The 23,209-nt window shown below is 38.1% G+C and overlaps 1 protein-coding gene across 4 annotated transcripts in view; it reads left to right on the forward strand.

The window, feature by feature from the left end:
* The window catches only part of BRCC3 (BRCA1/BRCA2-containing complex subunit 3), a 51,570-nt gene that overhangs the window by 12,334 nt on the left and 16,027 nt on the right, over positions 1-23,209 (forward strand). For 2 of the 4 annotated variants that reach the window (XM_005274751.5, NM_024332.4), the window contains exons 6-8: positions 5,422-5,510; positions 6,943-6,998; positions 15,474-15,548. In XM_005274751.5, coding sequence (XP_005274808.1) covers positions 5,422-5,510; positions 6,943-6,998; positions 15,474-15,548 — 220 coding nt within the window. The remainder of the gene's footprint in view (positions 1-5,421; positions 5,511-6,942; positions 6,999-15,473; positions 15,549-23,209) is intronic. The other 2 variants (NM_001242640.2, NM_001018055.3) reach the window with 1 other exon arrangement.

Below are 23,209 nucleotides of genomic sequence, written 5' to 3' on the forward strand. Positions count from 1 at the left end.
ATACTTCCCAGCTAATCACGAGGAGTGTGTGGCTTTTGGGGGAAGAAACTAAGCTGAGGGTCAGAGCTGAAATACCCAGTCCAAAACCAGATGGCTAGTAAGCAGCAGACCCAGTATCTGAATTGAGTTTATATGAGTCTAGAGCCTAGGATTTCTACAGCATCTCACTTTGATTGAACAAGTGGGAATCCTATTCATGGAAGTAGGAAGTGGAGGAGGAAACATAGGTTTGGTGATGGGGAAAGAGATATAGTTCAGTTACATCATACACACACTTAACGTACCTGAATTTTACCTATACAGTACACGTTTGCAAAAGAAAAATAAGTGATTTAAATGCTGCAGACTATTTCATAAATCTCCCAAGACTTGGTACTGTTTGTAGAAGTTATTCTTTTATATTCATTTTATTTTACTTGTAAATGCTTATCCAAGGAGACATGTACCTGTAGTTATGTTCCTCATTTTAAGATCTGCTCAATTTTTTTTTCTAGCACTACGGTGAGTTCTAATATCTTTGTTTAAAAAGTTTTTTTTTTGAGACAGAGTCTGGCTCTGTCGCCCAGGCTGGAGTGCAGTGGCACGATCTCAGCTCACTGCAAGCTCCGCCTCCCAGGTTCGCGCCATTCTCCTGCCTCAGCCTCCTGAGTAGCTGGGACTACAGGCATCCGCCACCACACCCGGCTAATTTTTTTGCATTTTTAGTAGAGATGGGGTTTCACTGTGTTAGCCAGTATGGTCTTGATCTCCTGACCTCGTGATCCACCCACCTTAGCCCTCCAAAGTGCTGGGATTACAGGCCTGAGCCACCGTGCCCAGCCCCAAAAAGTTTTTTTAAAGTAGGATAGGCCAGGTGTAGTGGCTCCTGCCTGTAATTGCAGCACTTTGGGAGGCTGAGGTGGGATGATTGCTTCAGCCTGGGAGTTCAAGTCCATCCTGGGCAAGATGGCGAGCCTCTGTCTCTTAATTTTTTTTTTAATTAGCCAGGTGTGGTGATGCATGCATGTATTTCCAGCTACTCAGGAGGCTAAGGTGGGAGGAACCCTTGAGCTCAGGAGTTGGAGGTGGCAGTGGGCCGTGACTGCACCACTGTGTGCCAGCCTGAGCGACAAAGCAAGACCTCGTCTCTTAAAATTTTTTTTTAAAAAGTAGGATATGAGAAATAGTCAATTATTTTCAGATATATAAGAACATTTCCAATGGCCTCCACATGTAATTTTGGAAAGATAGGCTGGATTCAGAGCAGGTCTGCCACTTCACAGGAACATTTTCACCACGTAGCTCCTAAAAGGAAATGAGAAGGCCTATTTCTGAAATGTTTCCATGTCCCCTTGGGGGGAAAACAGTTTCAGTTCATTCCTCCACTGACATTAAAAGAGAATGTCTATTTCAGGCAAGAATAATAAAATGGGCTTTTAATACTACATATGGTTATTTCATCATATTTCTTAGGAATGGTGCTGTGTAATATCACTGTGCACAAAATCACAGATTCTTCAAGAAAACTGTTTCTTAAATACCTGTGTAATTGCCCACAAAGGGGCCCAGTGCATGTGACATTCAGTCTAACAGCTTAACCAGCTCTCTGCCGTACTTGCCATACAGAAAAGCTGAAACTGCTGGTTTCCAGGTCAGTTTATGTGGTCCAATCCGTAACCTGCTTTCTTCCTGAAAGACCCAACCAGAGGAAACTGACCAAAAGAGCATCTCTCGTGTACCAGGCCTGAGTTCAACAGAAAACAGATAAGCGACCTCCAACTTTTTATCCCTGGGTCTGAAGTCACATCCTGAAGAGTTTGGTTACACCAGTAATGAAACATACATGGTTTCCTGTTGCTTTCCTTTCTTAATTTCCGGTGAGGATAATGTCACCAGAAAGTTCCATCTCCCTCTCTCAGTAACAGGGAGAAGTGGAACAGGCAATTGGATCTCAAGCAGGGTCTTGGCTTGAGCCTTGGGGCGGTTTACAGAGTTTCTGTCTTGACCACGGAGATCTTTACCAATTTGCTGGGTAGGTCCATGGCTGCCTGGTTCCCCCAGGACTGCTTTGCCATGACAGCTACCTGAATGACTCCGAGGAACTGCTCTTTGGTGATTTCAGGAGGTTCTTTCCCTTTAAGGGTTCTTCAGACAAAATGTCTGAAGCGCTCTCGATATGAGTTTTGGTAGCGGCCAGCCTGGGTCTGGGAGCAGAGTGATAGGACGTACCCTGCCTGGTCATGCCCAAGGGATTCTGATTATTCATCTGCAACACACCTTGGAAATCATGAACGTCCCGTCTGTGGTCACAGCTGTCTGTCCAGTGCTGGCTGACGTCCAAGCTAACAGCCGCCCCATTGGGAAACTTCATGCTGATCACAGTGGCATCTGCATCCTTTAAGGAGGCCATATCTGGTCAGAAGGCATGTCCGAGAGAAAGCACAGTGTCCAGAGTGGCTTTTAACAGCAACATGCATGCGATGTCCACATTGTGCACCCAGTCTTGTAGAGAACCCCACCTGCCCGCCTGCCCTCGCTTCCTCCCTCCGTCCCTCCCTCCCTTCCTTGCCCAGGCTGGAGTGCGATGGCGCGCCCTCTCAGGTAACTGCAACCGCCGTCTCCTGGGCTCAAGCGATTCTCCTGTCTTAGCTTCCCGAGTAGCTGGGATCACAGGCACGCGCCACCACGCCTGGCTAATTTTTTTTTTTTTGCATTTTGAGTAGAGAGGGAGTTTCACCACATTGGCCAGGCTGGTCTCAAACTCATGACCTCAGGTGGTCTGCCCGCCTTGGCCTCCCAAAGCGCTGCTCACAGCGCCATCTGGTGGATCCTTTTGTAAGCTTCCTCAAAGCAGGACTGGGCAGTGGCCTATTCAAAGCACGCAGCCTCGTGCAAAGCACCCCCATCCCTGTTCTCGAATTACCCTAGTGTTGGCCAAATAATCGGCTCTGAAGGTTCACTCCACTTTATATAGCTGATCGTCAAAAACATACAGCAAGCAGCAGCCGTTCTTATCCATTATATCCCAAAGATGGCCAGGCTAATGCTCCGATGTCATTAAAGCATCTCATACCTCTGTTGGAGGCTTCTGAAATGTCTTTGGCTGTTCTGAGGGCACCAATGGGCTTTTCACTCAGAGAGAAGGAAAGGCTGAGAGGTGGCCAGCAGAGGTAGATAGCGTTGTGTTTGGACGGAAGCAGAATGCCTGAGAGAATTTCTGAGTGGATGCTGAGGGGCAAGGGCGAGAGGTGCAGGGTCCGAGCCTGCTGAGATGAGAATAAGTGTCCATAGGATGACAGCTCCTCGCGGGCAGCGGTGGCTGGAGTGGGTCCCTCAGCGCTCAGGTGGTCTCCCAAGGGGTAGACAATGCTCAGAGGGGGTACATCCATTAGGACGGGATGCCAGAACGATCCCACCCGGAGAAGCTTCGCCGGCGAGAAGAATACGCCTTCCCACAGGGGAAGATGGGGGTACGAGGGACTCCCCCGGAGGGGTGACCGAGGCCAGTCTGAGCCTCTGGGGGCCCAAGGTTGGGAACTCTTGGTAGCCAGTGGACGGGCAGGGTCGGCTCGCTTTGGCAGGCGCCAGGGTGGAGGTACTGAGCTTACGTGAGACATACTCTCAGGAGCATTGTTTTAAGACAACCAAGTTGAACTGTCAGACGGCAACTTAGATCTATGGTTCTGGAGTTCTGGGACTAGAGTTTGTTGGGCAAGAGTTGGGAGTGGCTGGTGTAGATTTGAAGCCACAAAACTAGATAAAATCCCCCAAAGGGTAAGGGTAGAGAGATAAAAGGACTGAACACTGAGCCTGGGCCACACCAATATTTGGAGAGTGGGAAGATGAGAAGGATCCAGCAACAGAGACAGGAAGTTAGAGACGAGTAGGAAGAGTGGGAACGTGAGGCAAAGTGAAGATAGTGTTTCAAGAAGGGAGTGATCAGCTGAGATCAGGTAAATTGAAGACCAAGAATAAATCATTGGTGACCTTGACAAAAAGCAGTTTGGGTAACATGATGGGCACAGTAGTTGTTACCAGTGGTTGTAGATAAAATTGAATGGAAGTAATGCTTATGAAGTACCTTTGATGTGTGTTAAAAATTTTGCAATTTAAAAATTACAAAAACCCTATGAGAGAAGCGATGATGTTTATTCTCATTTAACTGATAAGGAAATAGGCTTAACAGTACCAAGAATTTTACTTTTAGCAATTTACTTTAATTCTCTGTACTGCTATAGACCGTTTTACAATGCTATGTTCTTTTAGCAATATTTTCAGCCAATTTCCTTTGTACTCATTGCTGGGTACTGTTTGGTCTCAGTCTTTACTTAGGAGGACATTGGGGAGAAGTCAAAATCTAGATCAAAAAGGTATACACACAAAGAATGTTGAAGAACAGATTGCCAAAATAAGTGAATGTAAGCCATTGGGCAAAACTGTAATCTGCAGTGTTTCATTGTGACACCTGATCTTTTGTATCCTTTATAAACAATGGTCTGAAGACTAAATTTAGCCTCTGTTTAGTTTTTGGCTTTTTTTTTTTTTTTTTTGAGACGGAGTTTTGCTCTCGTTGCCCAGGCTGGAGTGCAATGGCACCATCTCGGCTCACTGCAACCTCTGCCTCCCAGGTTCAAGCGATTCTCCAGCCTCAGCCTCCCAAGTAGCTGGGATTACAGGCATCCGCCACCACACCCAGCTAATTTTGAATTTTTAGTAGAGAAGGGGTTTCTCCTTGTTGGTCAGGCTGGTCTCAAACTCCCGACCTGAGGTGATCCGCCTGCCTCAGCCTCCCAAAGTGCTAGGATTACAGGCAAGAGCCACCACGCCTGGCCGTTTTTGGCATTTAATATTTTAATCCTTTCTAATGTTGTTATTTGGTGCCTGTTTATTATCTCTTTTCAAAAGTTCAGTAACCATATCAAGCAGAATTAAGAAAAAAATCAAGTAACCATATAGGAGGGGTTTCTACTCTCTGGAATGTTGAATTTATATCACAACCACTTCCATACAATGGCTTCCTGTAAGATTTTCCTCTGTAATTGTTCCACACTTCTATTCTTTAGTAGCAAGCCTAATAAATATGTTCACTTTCCTAGAAGCTGTCCATCAAAAGGCTTTTTCTAGGAAATACTTTCTCTCCTTTTTAATTTCTCTTTCTATTACCACATTCCATAGCAGAGCTACTCTTGGGCTAGGCAGGCTAGAGTTATTAATAAGTTTTATTATTTAATGGCAGACTTTCGATAGTATTACCCTAACCTAGCAAAACATTTTTACTTTGATATTGTCCTTAGGATATATTCCTGTTTTGCCTGTACAATCTGAATCCTAGGAAGATTATATGTTGCTGTTATCTTTAAATCTTTAAGTCAATCTTTAAATCAATAAGCTGTGAGACACAGCTTATTGACAGAAGATTTTTAAATTTTCATTTATTTTCAGATGTTCGCACACAAGCCATGTACCAGATGATGGATCAAGGCTTTGTAGGACTTATTTTTTCCTGTTTCATAGAAGATAAGAACACAAAGGTATTGTGTGTGCATGTGTGTGTGTGTGTGTGTGTGTGTAGGGTCTGTGTGTGTGTCTACACACAGAGTAGAGAAAAATCTCTTTGCGATTTTAATAGGATGGTCAGGAAAGGTTTCAAGGAAAAGGGTCATTGAGTCAGGACCTGAAGAAGGTGAGGGAACAAGTCTTGTGGATTTCTTGGGGAAAGAACGTTCCAGGCAGAGGAAATAGCCAGTCCAAAGACCCTAAGGTGAGTGTGGCATGTTCAGGAAACATCAAGGAAGTTGGTGTGGCTGCAGCAGAGTGAGGAAGACCATGACCATACATGCCAGTTTGCCTCTGTCAGTCCCAGTTTTACCCTATTATCCTAGTGACCTTCCCTCTTGGAAGTGTCCCAGTTTGAATGATAACTCATTTAGTTGTCCTAAACAAGGTCCAGATCTTGTAAGGCCTTGGATTTGACTCTGAGTTGGGAAGTCACTGGAGGATGACTTTATGTTTTAATGGGATCTCTCTGGCTTCTGTGTAGACTGAACAGTGGGCAGAGGGTGTGGGTGGAATCCGTGGCATCAGTGAAACCTGTTAGGAAGATATTGCTGTAATCTAGACAAGAGATGATGGAGGTTTGGTCATGGAGGTAAGAGTGAAGATAATGAGAAGTGGTTGGATGCTGAATATAGTTTGATGGCTACTAATAGTAACAACTACCATTTATCACCTATTGTATGGCATGTACTTATTAGGTGCTTTACGTAAATATGCTGTAACCCTGACAAAAACCCAGAAGGAGTATTATTCCCATTTTATGAATGAACAAACTGAAGCTCACAGAGGTTAAACAGTTTGATCAGTGGCCAGTCTTGCCATTCTTTATTTGGATTCTGTTTGAATTTTATGTTCATGTCAAGAGGTTATAATATGTGTCAGTTCAAACAAAAAGAAAATTACTACTTAACATTGTAGGTATGAATTCTGCTAAGAATACCAATAGTGTCTTATTTAGTGCATTAGTTATATTCTCAGAATCTGTGTTAATAATGAATATTTTCCATAAAATCAGTTTTCCAGAAACACTAAAGTTCAGTACCTTGAACTTTATACATCATTTGAAATGCTTTCAACCTTGTCATCATGCGTTTATTTATTTATTGTCATCATAAGTAGTTGTTGAATAAGTTTGTCAGCTTTCAGGATGGCAGTTTGAATGTTCAGGTTCTTAGGTTCCTGGTTCTTGTGTTTGTTAACAATTCCCTGCTGTTACATGAGCAGATGTTTGGTTGTGACCATCTTATGTTGACTGAGCATATGATCCTTTTTATAGAAATTAATTTATGGCATATTCCATCTTTGGTATCTCTTTTAACATTCTGCTTCTAGAGGGACCTTTGGGGTCTTTTTCAATATTAATCTTTCTTTGTGTGATATTTCTTTCTTTCTTTTTTCCTTTGATAGACTGGCCGGGTACTCTACACTTGCTTCCAATCCATACAGGCCCAAAAGAGTTCAGAGTAAGTATGAGAGAGACTTATGTGTGTATTGGAGGGCTAATCTCCAATTCAGAGAATTTATTGTTTTGTTTCATTTTATTCCTTTCACTGGTAAGACACTAAGACACTGCATTTTTATTTATACTCATTTACAGCTCTACGATGAGTTAGAATCTCTTTAGCAGCTTGGATACTGGGGACCTAGGAAGCTAGGGTCATATGAGCAGTCTCTTCACTGTAATTACATCACCACAGTCCTGCCTGACATTTCCTTTTGTACACTTATCCTAACTGAGCTGCTATTTTTCCTTTCTCTGGTAAATCATAAATCAAAGACTGAACATGCAGAGTACTAGATTTGTATAGATTCTTGTCTTTGCTGTGTCATAAACTTGATTTAAATGTTTGCATAGATCCATTTCCTTATTGAAATCCAATTCAATCTAAATTAGCAAATCTTTTTTTTTTTTTGAGACAGAGTCTCACTGTGTCACCCAGGCTGGAGTGCAGTGGTGTAATCTTGGCTCAGTGTAACCTCCACCTCCCGGGTTCATGCATTTCTCCTGCCTCAGCCTCCTGAATAGCTGGGACTACAGGCATGTACCACCACGCGCAGCTAATTTTTGTATTTTTAATAGAGATGGGGTTTCACCATGTTGGCCAGGATGGTCTCAAACTCCTGACCTCAGGTGATCCGCCTGCCTCGGCCTCCTAAAATACTGGGATTACAGGTGTCAGCCACTGCACCCGGCCACTAGCAAATCTTAATTGAGTACCTACTATATGCCATGTTCATTCATTGTCTAATTGGGAGATAGAAGCAAATACTGTATTGCCTTTTTTCTTGTCATATTTATCAATTTATTATTATAGCATTGTTTGAAATGTCAAAGAATTGGGAAACAGATGCTCATCAGTACAGAACTGATTAAATAAATTATAATACATTCATATAATGGAATAAAATGCAGCCGTTAAAAAAAAAAAAAGCAAGGAAGCTTGGTAGTAATACACAAATATCTCCAAGATATTTTGTTAAATGGAAATGCAGGGTAGAAGAACAGTAAGCTATGATTTGTGTAAAGATGTAGAAGAGAAATAGATAAATACCTAGTCAAGAAAAATTAATTTTTAAAATTTTCACCACACTAATGCATGCATATGCATGAAAATATTGAGTGGTACAGAAGGGCTTATAATAAATAGTTTCACTCCTCAAATGGAACCACTTCTTTCTCCTTATTTTCCTTTTAGTTCTTCTGTTACTTTGATATCTCTAAATAATATACTTATGATGTTCTTTCTTGATTTACCAGTTTTGGATATTTTCTATTCTTATTTATTATTGTGTTATATTGCTCTCACAAATGAGGATTTAGCTCACTTATACTACCCCATCTCCATTCTCCTCAATGTAGTTATGTTACTATTTTTTGTTCTGTTGGTTACTTTTCTAATCTTAAAGTTTGCTTATTTATTCTATTAACAATTGACAGTAGACAATATTTTTTGGCTCCCTGCTGTTACTTGTAGTTTTACCCTAAGCATTTATATTTTCACAGTTGTAAGCATCTATGTTCTGTGTTGTAACCATAATTGCATTTTCTGTGCTTTGTCTATGGTTGATTCTGAGAGTAGAAAATAAAGTGTTTATATTGTTATTATTATGTAAAGATTATTCTCTGTACAACCAAGCAGTGTAGTGTACTATGATTCCACTTCCTTTCTTACATAGCTTTTTGTTTTTTACATGGGGTTTTGAGTGGCTTTTTCCCCTTATTTTTCTGCCTTTATCATCTCCCAGAGCTCTACATCCTCAGAAGTAATATTAAAATATTTGGAATCCTTGCTTTTCCTAGGATTGCTCCCTTGAAACCCACTATCCTCTTACCCTGATCTGGTATCTTCTCTAGGCCTACTGCACAGCTGACATTCTGGGACTTTCCTTCATTATTCTCCTGGGTTGGATCCATTGTCACCTGGATTTTATGTTATCTTTCTTGGTTCACTGTGTCATTTTGCTGGAAAAGACTCTCTAGTAACTTCCTAAGAATGGTGTGTATTTCAGCTAAACTTTCTGAGTTCTGCTTGTCTGAAATGTTTTTATTCTTAATTAATAACCTTACTAGATAAAGAATTCAAAGTGGAAATTTTCCCCCTCATAACTTTGAAGGCATTGTTTCATTGTTTTTAAACATCCAATGTTACTGATGATAAGCCTTTGTAGGGCATTTTTTTCCCTTCTCTGACAGCTTTTAGGTATCTCTCTTTATTCTTGATGTGAAATTTTCTATGATTTTCTAACTATGATATAGTTAGAATGTGGATATTTTATTCAAACTGCTGTACACTTCAATCAGAAAGTGCTTGTCTTTCAGCTCTGGGCAATTCTCTGTTGTTTTTTGTTTGTTTGTTTTGTATTCCCAGATAAAACAATCCACAACCTACCTAGTTCCTGGAGAGAGGAAATCTTATTTGTAACTCAGTCCAATTCCATAATTTAAACAGTTTCTTCTAGTTTATATTGGTCTTTGGGGAATGACTTCTCATTCCTTCAATTACTTCCGTTACTCCCCATGTTCACTCTAAGATGGCATCAGAAGTATTGGGAAGATGACTTAAATAAAACTACACTGTAAGGAAAGGAGGCTTTCTAGTCTCATGCTGGTTATGGTAGTCAGTGTAGGAGTCCTTGTTCTCATGGTCAGTGTTCTCCTTAATTTATCCAATAGAATCCTGTCTCATGGACTTGAAGTCCTAGCAGAAGGAGATGCATCTCTCACTTCAAGTCCATGAGACAGGATTCTATTGGATAAATTAAGGAGAACACTGGTGATGCTTCCTCTCTCACAGCTCTCTCCTTCCTTTTCCCCCTAAGTTAATAGGACAGAGATATCATATCCTTTTCTCTATTCTTTGATAATTCCTCCCTGTTTTTTTCCCTTTCTTTTTCTAGAACTCCTATCAGTCACAAGTTAAAGGTCCTAAATTGACCTAATGACTCTTTCTTTTTACTCATATTTTCTGTCTCTTTTATTTTGTTCTAGTTTCGGCTTTTTAAAATTTTATCTTCCAACTCTTTTATTTTGGCAATTTTATATTTTTAATTTTCAAGAGTTTTTTCTACATTTGCTGGTTACTCCCATTTCACAGCATCCTTTTTTATTTTATTGATATGATATTGAAAATGTTAGATTGCCTTCTGTTTTTTACAGTTACCTGTTTCCTCTGATAATTTTTTTTTGTTTAATTTTTAAAATCTTCCTTGTCTATCCCTTTTTAAGAATAAAGCAACAAAAAGTGAAGTGGTAGCTCATTATTTGTGGCCTTGGCTTGTCAACATGAGGCTTCACTTTACGGTGAATAGGTTGGGAGCCAGCTCTTTTGTTCAGGTATCACTCTGTTCTAGACCTGAGATATCTTGCTGTGGGACACCAGTCTTAGCCATTGCTGTCATACTTCCTCCCAGACAGTTTATCATTATTATTGTTATCATTATTAACTATTAATTAGAAGAATTCTTGATGCTGCTGTTACTGCAAATGATAATGATTATTATTATTATTATTTTGATAAAAGAATGAAAGCTTGGTTATTAAACATTTGGTGTATACGCAGGCCAAATCATGAAGGAACACAAGAGAGTAGCTAGAGTCTCATTGCTGGTAGGAGGAACAAAAGGGGTCCAAGAAATCACATAAAGGGAGGAACATGATAAAGCAACTTCATAAAGTTGCTTATAAATTTCTGGGCTAATACTTGAGCAATGTATGCATGGATCTGATCCTAATTAGCATAATTTAGAACAGAATTAACCAATAGACCACCGCATAGATCCTATACTGACCACTAGGTGGTGCACATGCAGGTATGATCCAAAGAACACTACAAAGGCTCTGAAAAATTAGAACCGCTGCCTACAGAAGGCTGCGGAAAATTGAACCTGAACCTAACTAGGTGGATTGTTACAAAAGTAACAACATTCTCCATAGAATATAAACAAGACCCAGCGTGTCAACATAATATTCCAAATACTGGGAATCCAATTCAGAATTACTTGGTATGTGAAGAACTGAGAAAATTTCAACTTGCATAGAAAAGGACATTAACAGATGCCAACACTGAGCTGACACCCATGTAGGAATTGTGTGATAAAGACTTTAAAGCAAATACAGATTGAGTATCCTTTATATGAAATACTTTCAGATTTTAGATTTTTTAAGATTTTAGAATATTTGCATTATACTTACTGGTTGAGCATCCCTAATCTGAAAATATGAATTCCACAGTGCTCCAATGGTCATTTTCTTTGAGTGTAATGTTGATTCTTATAGAATAAGAATATAAAGAATGAGAATATTTTTGTATAGCTGTACAGTGTGTTTTAAGCTAAGTGTTACCAGATTCAAAATATTAACAAGTTTATAAAGTAAAAGAGTTACGGTTAATTATTGAAGAAAGAAAAAATTTAGTTTTTATTGTTATTTATTTATTTTTTTGTGATGGAGTTTTGTTCTTGTCACCCAGACTGGAGTACAACGGCAGGATCTAGGCTCACTGCAACCTCCACCTCCCGGGTTCAAGTGATTCTCCTGCCTCAGCCTCCTGAGTAGCTGGGATTACAGGCGTGCACCACCATGCCTGGCTAATTTTTGTATTTTTAGCAGAGATTGAATTTCACCATGTTGGCCAGGCTGGTCTTGAACTCCTGACCTAAGGTGATTCATCCACCTCGGCCTCCCAAAGCGCTGGGATTATAGGCATGAGCCACCGTGCCCAGCCAAGAAAGAAACAATTTTTAATATAGTGTAGCCTAAGTGTTCAGTGTTATAAAGTTTCCAGTAGTGTACAGTAATATCTTAGGCCTTAACATTCCCTCACCACTCACTTAATTGCTCACCCAGAGCAACTTCCAGTCCTGCAAACTCCATTCATGGTAAGTGCCCTATACAGGTGTACTTTTTTTTGGTCTTTTATTCTGTATTTCTACTGTACCTTTTCTGTGTTTAGATACACAAATAGTTGTCATTGTGTTACAGCTGCCTATGGTATTCCATATGATAACATGCTGTACAGGTTTATAGCATGGGAGCAATAGGCTATACCATATAGCCTGGGCATGTAGTAGGCTGTACCATCTTGTTTGGTATAAGTACACTGTATGATGTTTTAATGACAATGAAGTTGCCTAACGATGCATTTCTCAGGACGCATCTCCATCAATAAGTAATGCATGACTGTATATCCATTCGATCAAATATTATTCATAAAAAAGAAACAAAGTATAGAAGCATGCTACAATCTGAAAGAATTTGAAAACATAAGTGAAAGAAGCCACACAAAAAGTCACATATTGTGTGATTTCACTTATAGGAAGTATCCAGAATAGCTAAATCCATAGAGACAGAAAGCAGATTGGTGTTATCCTGGGCTGGTGGGAAGGAAGAATGTCGAGTAACTGTTTAATAGGTACGGGATTTTATTTTGGCGTGATGAAAATGTTTTTGAACCAGATAGAGGTGGTGGTTGTACGATATTGTGAAGGTACTAAATGCCGCTGAATTGTTCACTTTAAAATGGTTAATTTTATGTTATGTGAATTTCACCTAAATTTTAAAAAATGTGTAAAAGGATTTTAATGGACGTTTTTCCAAGGAAGATATACAAGTGGTCAATAAACACGTGAAAAATTGCCCCAAATCATTAGTCTTTAGGGAAATGCAAATAAAAACCACAATGAGACATTACTTCCCACACACTACTACCCAATGTCATCTACAGATCCAGTGTAATCCCTATCAAAATTCCAATAACATTTTTCACAGAGATAGAAATAAAATCATAAAATTCATATGAAACTACAAAAGTTCCTGAATAGCCAAAGCAATCTTGAGAAAGAAGAACAAAGCTGGAGAAATCACACTATGTGATTTCACAGTATATTATAAAGCTATAATAATCAATGCAATATGGTACTGGCATAAAAATAGACACATAGACTAATAGGACAATAGAGAGCCCAGAAATAAACCCATGCTTATGCAGTCAACTAACCGTCAACAAAGATGTCAGGAATATTCAATGGGAAAAGGATAGTCTCTTCAATAAATGATGTTGGGGAAACAAGATACCCACATGCGAAAGAATGGAAGTGGATCCTTATCACACGTATATACAAAAATCAAGTTAAAATGAATTAAAGACTTAAACATAAGACCTGAAAGTGTAAAACTACTAGTGGAAAGCAGAGGAAACACTGCTTGACATTGGTCTTGGCAAAGATTTTATGAATACGACTCCAAAAGCACAGGCAACAAAGGAAAAAAGAAACGGGTGGGACTATATCAAACTAAAACGCCTGCACAGCAAAAGAAACTGAACAAAATGAGAAGGCAACCTACAGAAGGGGAGAAAAATATTTGCAACCCATATATCTGATAAAGGGGCTGATATCCAAAATATATAAAGAACTCATATAGCTCAATAGCGAAAAACCCAAATAATATAATTTATAAATGGGCAAAGATCCTGAATAGACATTTTTCCAAAGAAGACATATAAATGGCCAATAAGTACACGTAAAGGTACTCAGCATCACTAATCCGAGAAATGCAAATCAAAACCATAATGAGTTAGGATGGCTATTATCAAAAAGTCAAAGATAGAAAACAGTATAGAGACTCCTCAAAAAACAAAAAATAGAACTGTCATATGATTCAGCAATCCTATTTCCAGGAGTATATCCAATAAAATTGAAATCAATATCTCAAAAAGGTGTTTTAAAAAACCAGAAAATAACAAGTGTTGGCAAAGACATGGAGAAATTGGAACCCTTGTACACTGTTGGTAGAAATGTAAAATGGTACACCCACTGTGGAAAATGGTATGGTAGTTTCTCAAATCAAGAATATTATTACCATATGATTCAGCAGTTCCACTTTTTGGTATATACCCAAATGAATTGAAAGCAGGGTCTCTCCATCCGGGTTAACACGGTGAAACCCCATCTCTACCAAAACTACAAAAAATTAGCTGGGCGTGGTGGCAGACGCCTGTGGTCCCAGCTACTGGGGAGGCTGAGGCAGGAGAAAGGCGTGAACCCGGGAGGCGGAGCTTGCAGTGAGCCGAGATGGCGCCAGAGTGAGACTCCGTCTCAAAAACAAAAAAAAAGGAAGCAGGGTCTCTAAGAGATAGTTGTGCACCCATGTTCATAGCAGCATTATTTACAACTCAGTTTCTTAGCCTTTTTTAAAAATTCTGCATTTCTCTTTATTAATTTATTCTATTTTCTTTGCATTTTATTGTTGTATTCTAAATTCTTGAGGTGAAAACCAGGTTTATTTTCTGTCTTCCTAGTTTTCTAATAAATACATTTGAGGTCATAAATTTTCCTCTTCACTCTGGGCCCACAGGTTTTGATGTATATATAGTAAGGCAGTTCTGATGTTTTTTGTTTGTTTACTTGTAAATAATTTGTACTTTCCATTTTTATTTTCTCTTCAACCCAAGGGTTATTTAGAAGTGCATTTAAAAATTTAAAATTTTGAAATTTCCAGTTGTTTAGACTTGAGGGAGGGACTAGTATGTTAATTTTTAACACTACATTATGGTAACTGATTGTGGCCTGTGTGGTATCAGCCTTACGGATTTTTAAAATATTTCCTCTGTTACCTAGAACAGGGGTCCACAAACTATAGCTTGTAGGCCAGGTTGGCCTGGGGCCTACATTTGTAAATCACGTTTTATTGGAATATAGCCACATCCATTTATTTACATATTGTCTATGACCCCTTTCCAGCTATGATTGTAGAGCTGACTGTTGTAATAGAGACCCTGTGGCCCACACAGCTTAAAATATGTCTTTACTTCAAGAGTTTGCTGATCCCTGACTTAAAACATAGTCAATTTTCACAGCTTTTTCATTTGGGTTGAAAGTATGTATATTTTCTCTTGGGTACAAGTTCCTTATATCCCCGTCAGAATAAGCTTAAGTTGTGTTATACCAATCCTTATATCCTTCATTGTGGTTTTGATTATTGATATCTGAGAGAGATGTGTATGTATAAACTTCCCATCCCAACTAAATTATTTGTCCACTTTCATATTTTAGTCAGAGTTAGCTTTATATCCTTTGAAGCTGTTTTTTGTTTGTTTGTTTGTTTTAGTGCAGAATATTTACAGGTCATAACTATTAAACTTCTCTGTGTTTTTCCTTCACACAATATGAAATAGTCCTCTTTGTCCTATTTATTTTTTATTTATGCCTTGAATTCTTTCTCTCTAAATAATATTATTGTTCCCGTCAGGATTAGGTTCAGCAGCATATATTAGAAAAAAAAATTTAAATAAGAAATAAAATTAGAAATGTTTTTTTTTTTTTTTTGTGGTAAAAGAAGTCTGGAGATGGATATCAGGTCTCAGGGCTCTGCAGTGTCATCAGGGACCCAGACTCCTCTATTTTGCTTCACCATCTTGGTGTGTGGTTTCCATCCTAAGGTCCCTTCATGGTCCACGAGACTTCTGGAGCTCCAGCCAGCACATCTCCATTGAGGGCCAGAAGGAAGAGGAAAGGTAGGAGGGCAAAAAGGGGCCTGTCCCCCAGCTCAACTGATTTCCAATAAGTGACCTTCCCAGAAGTCCCAGAAAACAATTCCACTTCCATCTCACTGGCAGAACTCAGTCAAGTGGCCATACCTAAGCTGCCAAGGAGACTAGGAAATCTAGTCTTTTACTTCAAGTAGCTCTGTCTTTGCTAAAAATGGACATTCTGTTATCAAGGAGGAAAGTGAGAATGCGCATTTGGAATAGGCAGCCAGCAATCTCTGCCACTGCCCGTTATGTATTATAGTTCTTGTTAGCATTTGTTTGCCTATTATAACTTTTTCCACTCTTTTATTTTTGACCTTCCTCAGTTATTTTGTTTTAGGTATGCCTCTTATAAAATATAGCAAGATCTTGAGTTTTTTGGTTTTAAGCAATCAGGACATTCGTCTCTTAATAGGTGAATGTCATACATTCATTTTATTACCATTGCTGACATATGTGGCAGTATTTCTGCCATTATGTTTTGCCTTCTGTTTGCTATGCTTTTAATTTTTTCCCCTTCCTGTCACTTGCACTCATTGAGTTTTCTGGTGTCTGATTTTTCTGTTTTAGGAATTGTCCTTACTAAATCAATTTTTAAGGTTATTACTCGATGTTTTTTAATATTCCGTTTTGAAATAATATTAGATTTACAGTAAAGTTGTAAGAATAGTATTAAGGATTCCTGTATACCCCTCACCCAGATTCCCCAAATGTTGGTATTTTGTCACATTTCTATTGTCATTTTTTTTCTTTATTGTATGGATATTTTTCCTGTACCATTTGACAGTAAGTTGCACACATGATACCTCTTCAGTAGGCATTTCTGAAAGAACGACGACATTCTCTTACATAACCAGAATATCATTATCCGTATCAGGAAATTAAAATCCTTACAGCATTATTATCTAATCCATAGATAGTATTCAAATGTCATCACCAATTTTTCTAATTACATCCATATAACAGAAGAAAAAACCTTTAGTCTGGTCCTGGATGCAGTCCAAGTTCACACATTGCACGTAATTGTCTTGGCTGTTTAGTTTCCTTTGGCTTGAAACAGTTCTTATGTCTTTTGTGACCTAAACATTTTTGAAGACTACTAAAGGGCAGTTATTTTGGAAAATGTCCTTCATTTTGGATTTGTTCATGTTTTATCATGATTAGATGTAGATTATGCACTTTTCGCAATAATGCCACTGAAGTTATGTTGGTTCTTTTGGTGATTTGTATCAGGAGGCACATGTCAATTTGTTCCATTACTGGTGATTTTAACTTTGACCATGTGCTTCAGGTAGTGCCTGATATGTTTTTCCACTGTAAAGTTAATTATTCCCTTTGATATTAATAAACAGTTGGCCCTCCACATTCATGGATTCTGTTTCCATTGATTCAACCAACCCTGGATCAAAAATATTTGGAAAAAAACTGCATACAGGGTGAACATGTACAGACTTTTTTCTAGTCATTATTCCTTACACAATACAGTATAATAATTTTTTTTTTTTTTGAGACAGGGTCTTGCCTTGTCACCCAGGCTGCAATGCAGTGGTGTGATCACGGCTCACAGCAGCCTTGACCTCCAAGGCTCAAGGGATCCTCCCTCGTCACCCTCCCAAGTAGCTGGGACTACAGGCATGTGCCACCAGGCTTGGCTATTTTCTTTTTTGTATTTTTTATAGAGGTGGGGTTTCGCCATGTTGCCCAGGCTGGTCTCAAACTCCCGGGCTCAAGCGATCTGCCCATCTCAGCCTCCCAAAGTACTGGGACTACAGGCATGCACCAGTGCACCCAGCCTGTATGAGGTATTATAAATAATCTAGAGATGATAAGTCATCTAGAGGGAATTTAAAGTATACAGGAGGATGAGGTTATATGCAAATACTGCACCCTTTTATATCAGGGACTTGAACATCTATGGATTTCAGTGTCTGTGGGAGGTCCTGGAACCAATCCCCAACAGCTACGAAGGGATGACTGTATCTTGTGGGGAGTTTTAGCATTCATCAATTAGTATTTCCTAAATTACTTATTACTAAGATGTTTGTCACATGGCAATGTTCTAATTCCATCATTCCTTCAACATTTACTAGTTGGTATTCTTCTCTAAGAAAGAGTTTTCTCTTCTGCCAATTTGATTATTTGTTCATTTATTTATTTATATTAATGTGAACACCTGGATCCTTATTTTATTCAATGAGTTTTAATCCATTACTATCATTAGTTATTTTGAGGCACCCAGTGTTTCAGAATTGGCTAGTGGAAGCTTTTCCTGTGTTATTTTGACCTACTCCCATCTTTCTTTGATTTTCTAGCACAAGTAGATGTTCCAGGTTTGTCTCATTCTTTCCTCTACCCAGCCTGGATTCATTATTTCTCCAAGGAGCCTTGGTTCTTTGTAATTCTTTTCTTCCATCATGCCCTATCACTTCTCTAACCACAGAAAACCCTGATCTACTATTAGTACAGATTGGTCTTCATTTTCTAGATTTTTTTGTATATGGAATCATAGAGTATGTACTTTTTTGTCTGTCTCTTTTCATACATCGTAATTATTCTGAGATTCAGCCATGTCACAGCATGTATCAATAGTCTGTCCTTTTTATTACAGAATAATATTAAATTGTATAAATATTACCACAATATGTTTATCCATTCACCTGTTGATGGATATTTGAGTTATTTATAGTTTTTGTCTATTACAAATAAAGCTGCTTAGAACATTTGTATATAGGTCTTGGTGTGGATATATGCCTTTCCTTTCCTTGGGGAAATACCTAGGATCACACTGGCTGAACATACAGTAGTCTTCCAAAGTATGGACATGGTATATCTCTCCATTTATTTAGGTCTTTAATTATCTCAGTAATGGTTTGTGGTTTTCAATATACAGGTCTTCCATATCTTTTGTCATATTTATCCCTATACATTTCATGTATTTATATTATTGTAAATGTGATTGTATTAATTTCAATTTCCTATTCATTGCTACTATATAAAAGTACAATTCATTTTTGTATATTGAGTTAATATCCTACAACCTTGCTAAATTCAATTACTTTTAATAGCTTTTTTGAAGGGTCCATTGGATTATCTACAGGCGATTATGTCATCTGTGATTAAAGGCAGTTTCACTTGTTTCTTTCCAATGTGGATGCCTTCTGTTTATTTATTTATTTTTTTGCCTTATTGCGTTGTTAGAACCTCTAATAAGCTGTTGAATACAGCTGGTAAGAGCGGTCATGGTAACTTTGTTCCTAATCTTTGGAGAAATCATTTACTCTTTCACCATTAAGTATGATGTTACCTGAAGATTTTTCATAGATTCCTTTAATCAGTTTGAGGAAGTTTCTTCAATTCCTGGATTGATAAGAAAATGTTTTCAACAAAAACAGATGTTGTATTTTGTCAAATGGTTATCTCCTTTATAGACTAATTAGCTGTAGTCTTTTGTTATTTCAGTGGTTGCTTTAGGGTTTTTCACAGGGTCTGTCAACATTGGCACTATTGACATTTTGGGTCACATAGTTTTTGTGTGTGTGTGTGTGCGTGTGTGTGTGTTGTCATAATCAGAAACATCTCCAGACACAGCCAAATGTTTTCTGCAGGGAAAAATTACCCCTGGTTGAAAACCACTAGTTTATAGTATACATCTTTTACGTATCACAGTCTGTCTTCGAGTGATATTTTACTAGTTCATACGTAGTATAAGAATCTTGCAACATCATACTTTCATTTCTCGCCTCCTGGCCTTTGTGCCATTGTGGTCATACATTTTACTTGTATGTATAAGTTTTATTTAAACAGTTTATTATCTTTTCAAGAAATTTAAATAAGAAAAGTCTTTGTATTTAACCATATGGTTAGTCATTTCTAGTGCTCTTAGTTTCTTTGTTTACATCTGGTATCATTTTCTCTCTTCTTGAAGAACATCCTTTAATGTGTCTTGTAGTGTAGCTCTGCCGGTGCTATATTCTTTTGACTTTGATATATCTGAAAAAAGTCTTTGCCTTCATTTTTTGAAAGATATTTTCGATGGGTAAAGAACTCTAGGTTGCCTTTTTTACATTCAGAACTATAAAGATATTTCTCCGCTGTTCAACAAGAAAGTGGCTGACATTTTTACCTTTGTCTACTCTACTTAATGTGTCCTTTTTTAAGGCTTCTTTTAAGATTTTGTTTTTATCACTGGCTTTAAACCATTTGAGTATAAGTGTATCATGGTGTAATTGTTTCCTGTGCTTGGGTTTCATTGAGCTGCTTGGATCTGTGGATTTATGTATTTTTTTTCATCAAATTTACAAAAACTTCAGACATTATTTCCACTAGTTTTTTATGTCCCACTTTCTCCTCTCCTTTAGGTGTTTCAACTAACCATATATTTGGCCACTTAATGTTACCTCACAGTTCACTGATGCTCTGTTCATTGTTTTTCAGTCTTTTTTTTTTCTATCTGTGATTTGTTCTGTATAGTTTCTATTGCTGTCTTCTAGTTTACTCATCTTTCTTTCTGCAATGTTAAATTTACCATTAATCCTGTCCACTGTATGTTTTAATTTTTATTTATTTATTTTTTTAGAGACAGGGTCACGCTCTGTCACCTAGGCTGGAGTGCAGTCTAAAAGTCTCATTTGGATCTTTTAAATTTTTTCTTTTCTATACTTAACATGTTTAATCTTCTAGCTTCTTGAACATACAAAATAGTTATAATATTCATTTTAATGTTTTTGTCCTCCAATTTTGTCACTAAATCAGCATCATTCTGGGCCAATTCCAATTCATTTCCTCTCCTTATAGGTTGGACTCTTCTGCTGCTTTTCATGCCTGATAATTTTTGATTGGATGCAGACACTGTGAATTTTACCTTATTGGGTACTAGATATATTTGTATTCCTAAAAATATTCTTGAGTTTTGTTTCAAGATACTGTTAAAATTATTAGGAAACATTCCTATCCCTTTGGATCTTGCTTTTAAGCTTTGTTAGGCAGAAACAAAGCAGTGTTTAATATAAGGTTCATTTTTTCCCCACTACTGAGGCAAGACCCTTTTTAATACTCTGATGCTTCCAATATTATGAGATTTTCCATTCGGACTGTTGAAAATAGATGCTATTCCTGCCCCTGTGCATACTTTGGAGTTCACTGGAGGGTCTGGACATGTTGTTTCTCTTCCTATGCAGCTCTTTCCTCTACGGTACTTTACTTTGCAAACACAAGCTATCTTGGCCTTCCCAGAGTCTCAGCTCCATTTTCTCAACTCGGCATCTGCCAAGCCCTACCTGGGGGTTCTCCTTGTGCTTCAGCTGGGAAACTTTCTCCAGTTTACCTCTGAGTTCAACCTGATAACTCCAATTCTATTTCCATACTTTAAGGTTCATCCTAGCATTCTCCTTTTTCATATTCACAGTTCTTTTTATTAAGCTTTATTGAGGTATAATTAACATGCAGAATTGCACATATTTAATGTACACATTTTGATGAGTTTGGACATATGCCTAAGAGTGTATACTCAAAATACTTAGCTGGGTTCAGTCTATTTTCCCCCTGACCACTTCAGTGTGGTTATATGATTTATTTGAAAGACAGCTTTTTCTTGTTTGCTTGTTTTCCATTTTAGGATTTTTTTTAACTCATACTTTTTTCCCTTTTAGAGTATATGAAACATCAACATGGTTCAAAAAGTCAAAAGTCAGAACTATATAGAGTTAATTTTGTATAGACTAAGATATGAATCTAATTTTATCTCTTTCTAAATGGCAATCTACCTGTTACAAAACCATTGTTTAAAAAGTTTGTGTTAGGTGGGCACAGTGGCTCATGTCTGTAATCCCAGCACTTTGGGAGGCCGAGGCGCGTGGATCACTTGAGGTCAGGAGTTCGAGAACAGCCTGCCCAACATGGTGAAACCCCATCTCTACTAAAAATACAAAAATTAGCCAAGTGTGGTGGCGCATGCCTGTAATCCCAGCTACTCGGGAGGCTGAGGCAGGAGAATTGCTTGAACCCGGGAGGCGGAGGTTGCAGTGAGCCGAGATTGTGCCACTGCCCTCCAGCCTGGGCGACAGAGTGAGGGAAAATAATAATTAAAAAAAAGCTTATCTTCATGTCAGCAATTTTACATGCCACCTTTTACCATATATGAAAGCTCCCTATTCACTTGGATCTCTTTCTTTTTATTCTGTCTGTCCATTTAGTTACCATCACATAAATTATGGTGGCTTTATTGTATGTTTTATTATCCATAGGGCTAGTCTCCATTGTAGCTTTTCTTTTCTCAGTGTTTCCCTGACTATTCTTTTTGTTTTGTTTTGTTTTGAGACGGAGTCTCGCCCAGTTGTCCAGGCTGGAGTGCAGTGGTGCGATCTTGGCTCACAGCAGCCTCTGCCTCCCGGGATCAAGCTGTTCTCCTGTCTCAGACTCCTGAGTAGCAGGGATTACAGGCACGTGCCATCACACCTGGCTAATTTTTGTATTTTTAGTGGAGACAGGGTTTCACCATGTTGCCCAAGCTGGTCTCGAACTCCCAACCTCCCAAAGTGCTGGGATTACAGGTGTGAGCCCAGGCTTGAGCCACCACGCCCATCCAAGACCCTGACTATTCTTACATGTTTGGTTTTTCATGTGAACCTTACTATCAACTTGTCTAGCTCCAGATAAAAACTTTTTGATATTTCTATTGAGATTGTGTTAAATTTATAAATTAATCTGTGATGTTGCATCATCCTATCCAAGAGCACTGGCTGTCTTTCCACTTGCTGTAGTCTACTTTTGTGTCTTTCGGGAGTGTTGTTTTTCTCATATAGGTTTTGTATATGTCATACTGAAATTTATTCTTAAGCATTTAACTTCTTTTTTGCTTTGTTAATGTTTTTTTTCTATTACATCCTCTGTTTTTTGCTTGTATATTTGAAGGCTACTATTTCTGTATGTAAATTTTTATCTTCCTGAATTCTTTTGTTCTTTGAGTTAATTATACCTTTATTTCTCTAGAGCTTTCCAGATAAGTATCACACTCCATCTGCAAATACTTTTACTTATTTCCCAATTCCTAAACCTCTAATTGATTCCTTAAATATAACTGCATTGCCTAATATCTTCTTTAGAACATTAAATAGTAGTGGAAATAGTAGATGATCTTGTTTTGTTTCTGATCCTTATGGAAATTCCTGTAGCATTTCTTCATTAAGAAAGATTCTGTATTCAGGAAAAATCATAAGTGCTATCAGAAATATTCTTTTTTTGTACTGTCTTTATCAGGTTTAGGTATATATATTACACTTGCTTCAGAAGAATTGTTTGGAGTTTTCTTTCACTGTCTAGGCTGTGACAGAAATGTAAGTAGCAGTGAGACAATCAGTTCTTTGACAATTCCTCTATGAAATCAACTAGGCCTTTTTGTGTTTCTCCTCTGGGAATTTATCTGTTTATGCTTTCTTTCTGTAATGGGGTCAATTTTGGTACAGTTTCCTAAGAAATTATTCATTTTTTATGGTTTGCAAATTTATTTACACAGAGATCTCTCTGCCAGATAGTCTGTCATATTTTAAATCTCTTGTATTTCAATAGTTATCTCCCCCTTGTCATTTCATATTTTGTATATTTGTGCTATTTCTTTTTTCCCTTGGTTATGTTAGCCAGTGGTGTGTCAA

This window comes from Homo sapiens, chromosome X (assembly GCF_000001405.40).
Source record: "Homo sapiens chromosome X, GRCh38.p14 Primary Assembly".
In the NCBI taxonomy this organism is placed as follows: Eukaryota; Metazoa; Chordata; class Mammalia; order Primates; family Hominidae; genus Homo; species Homo sapiens.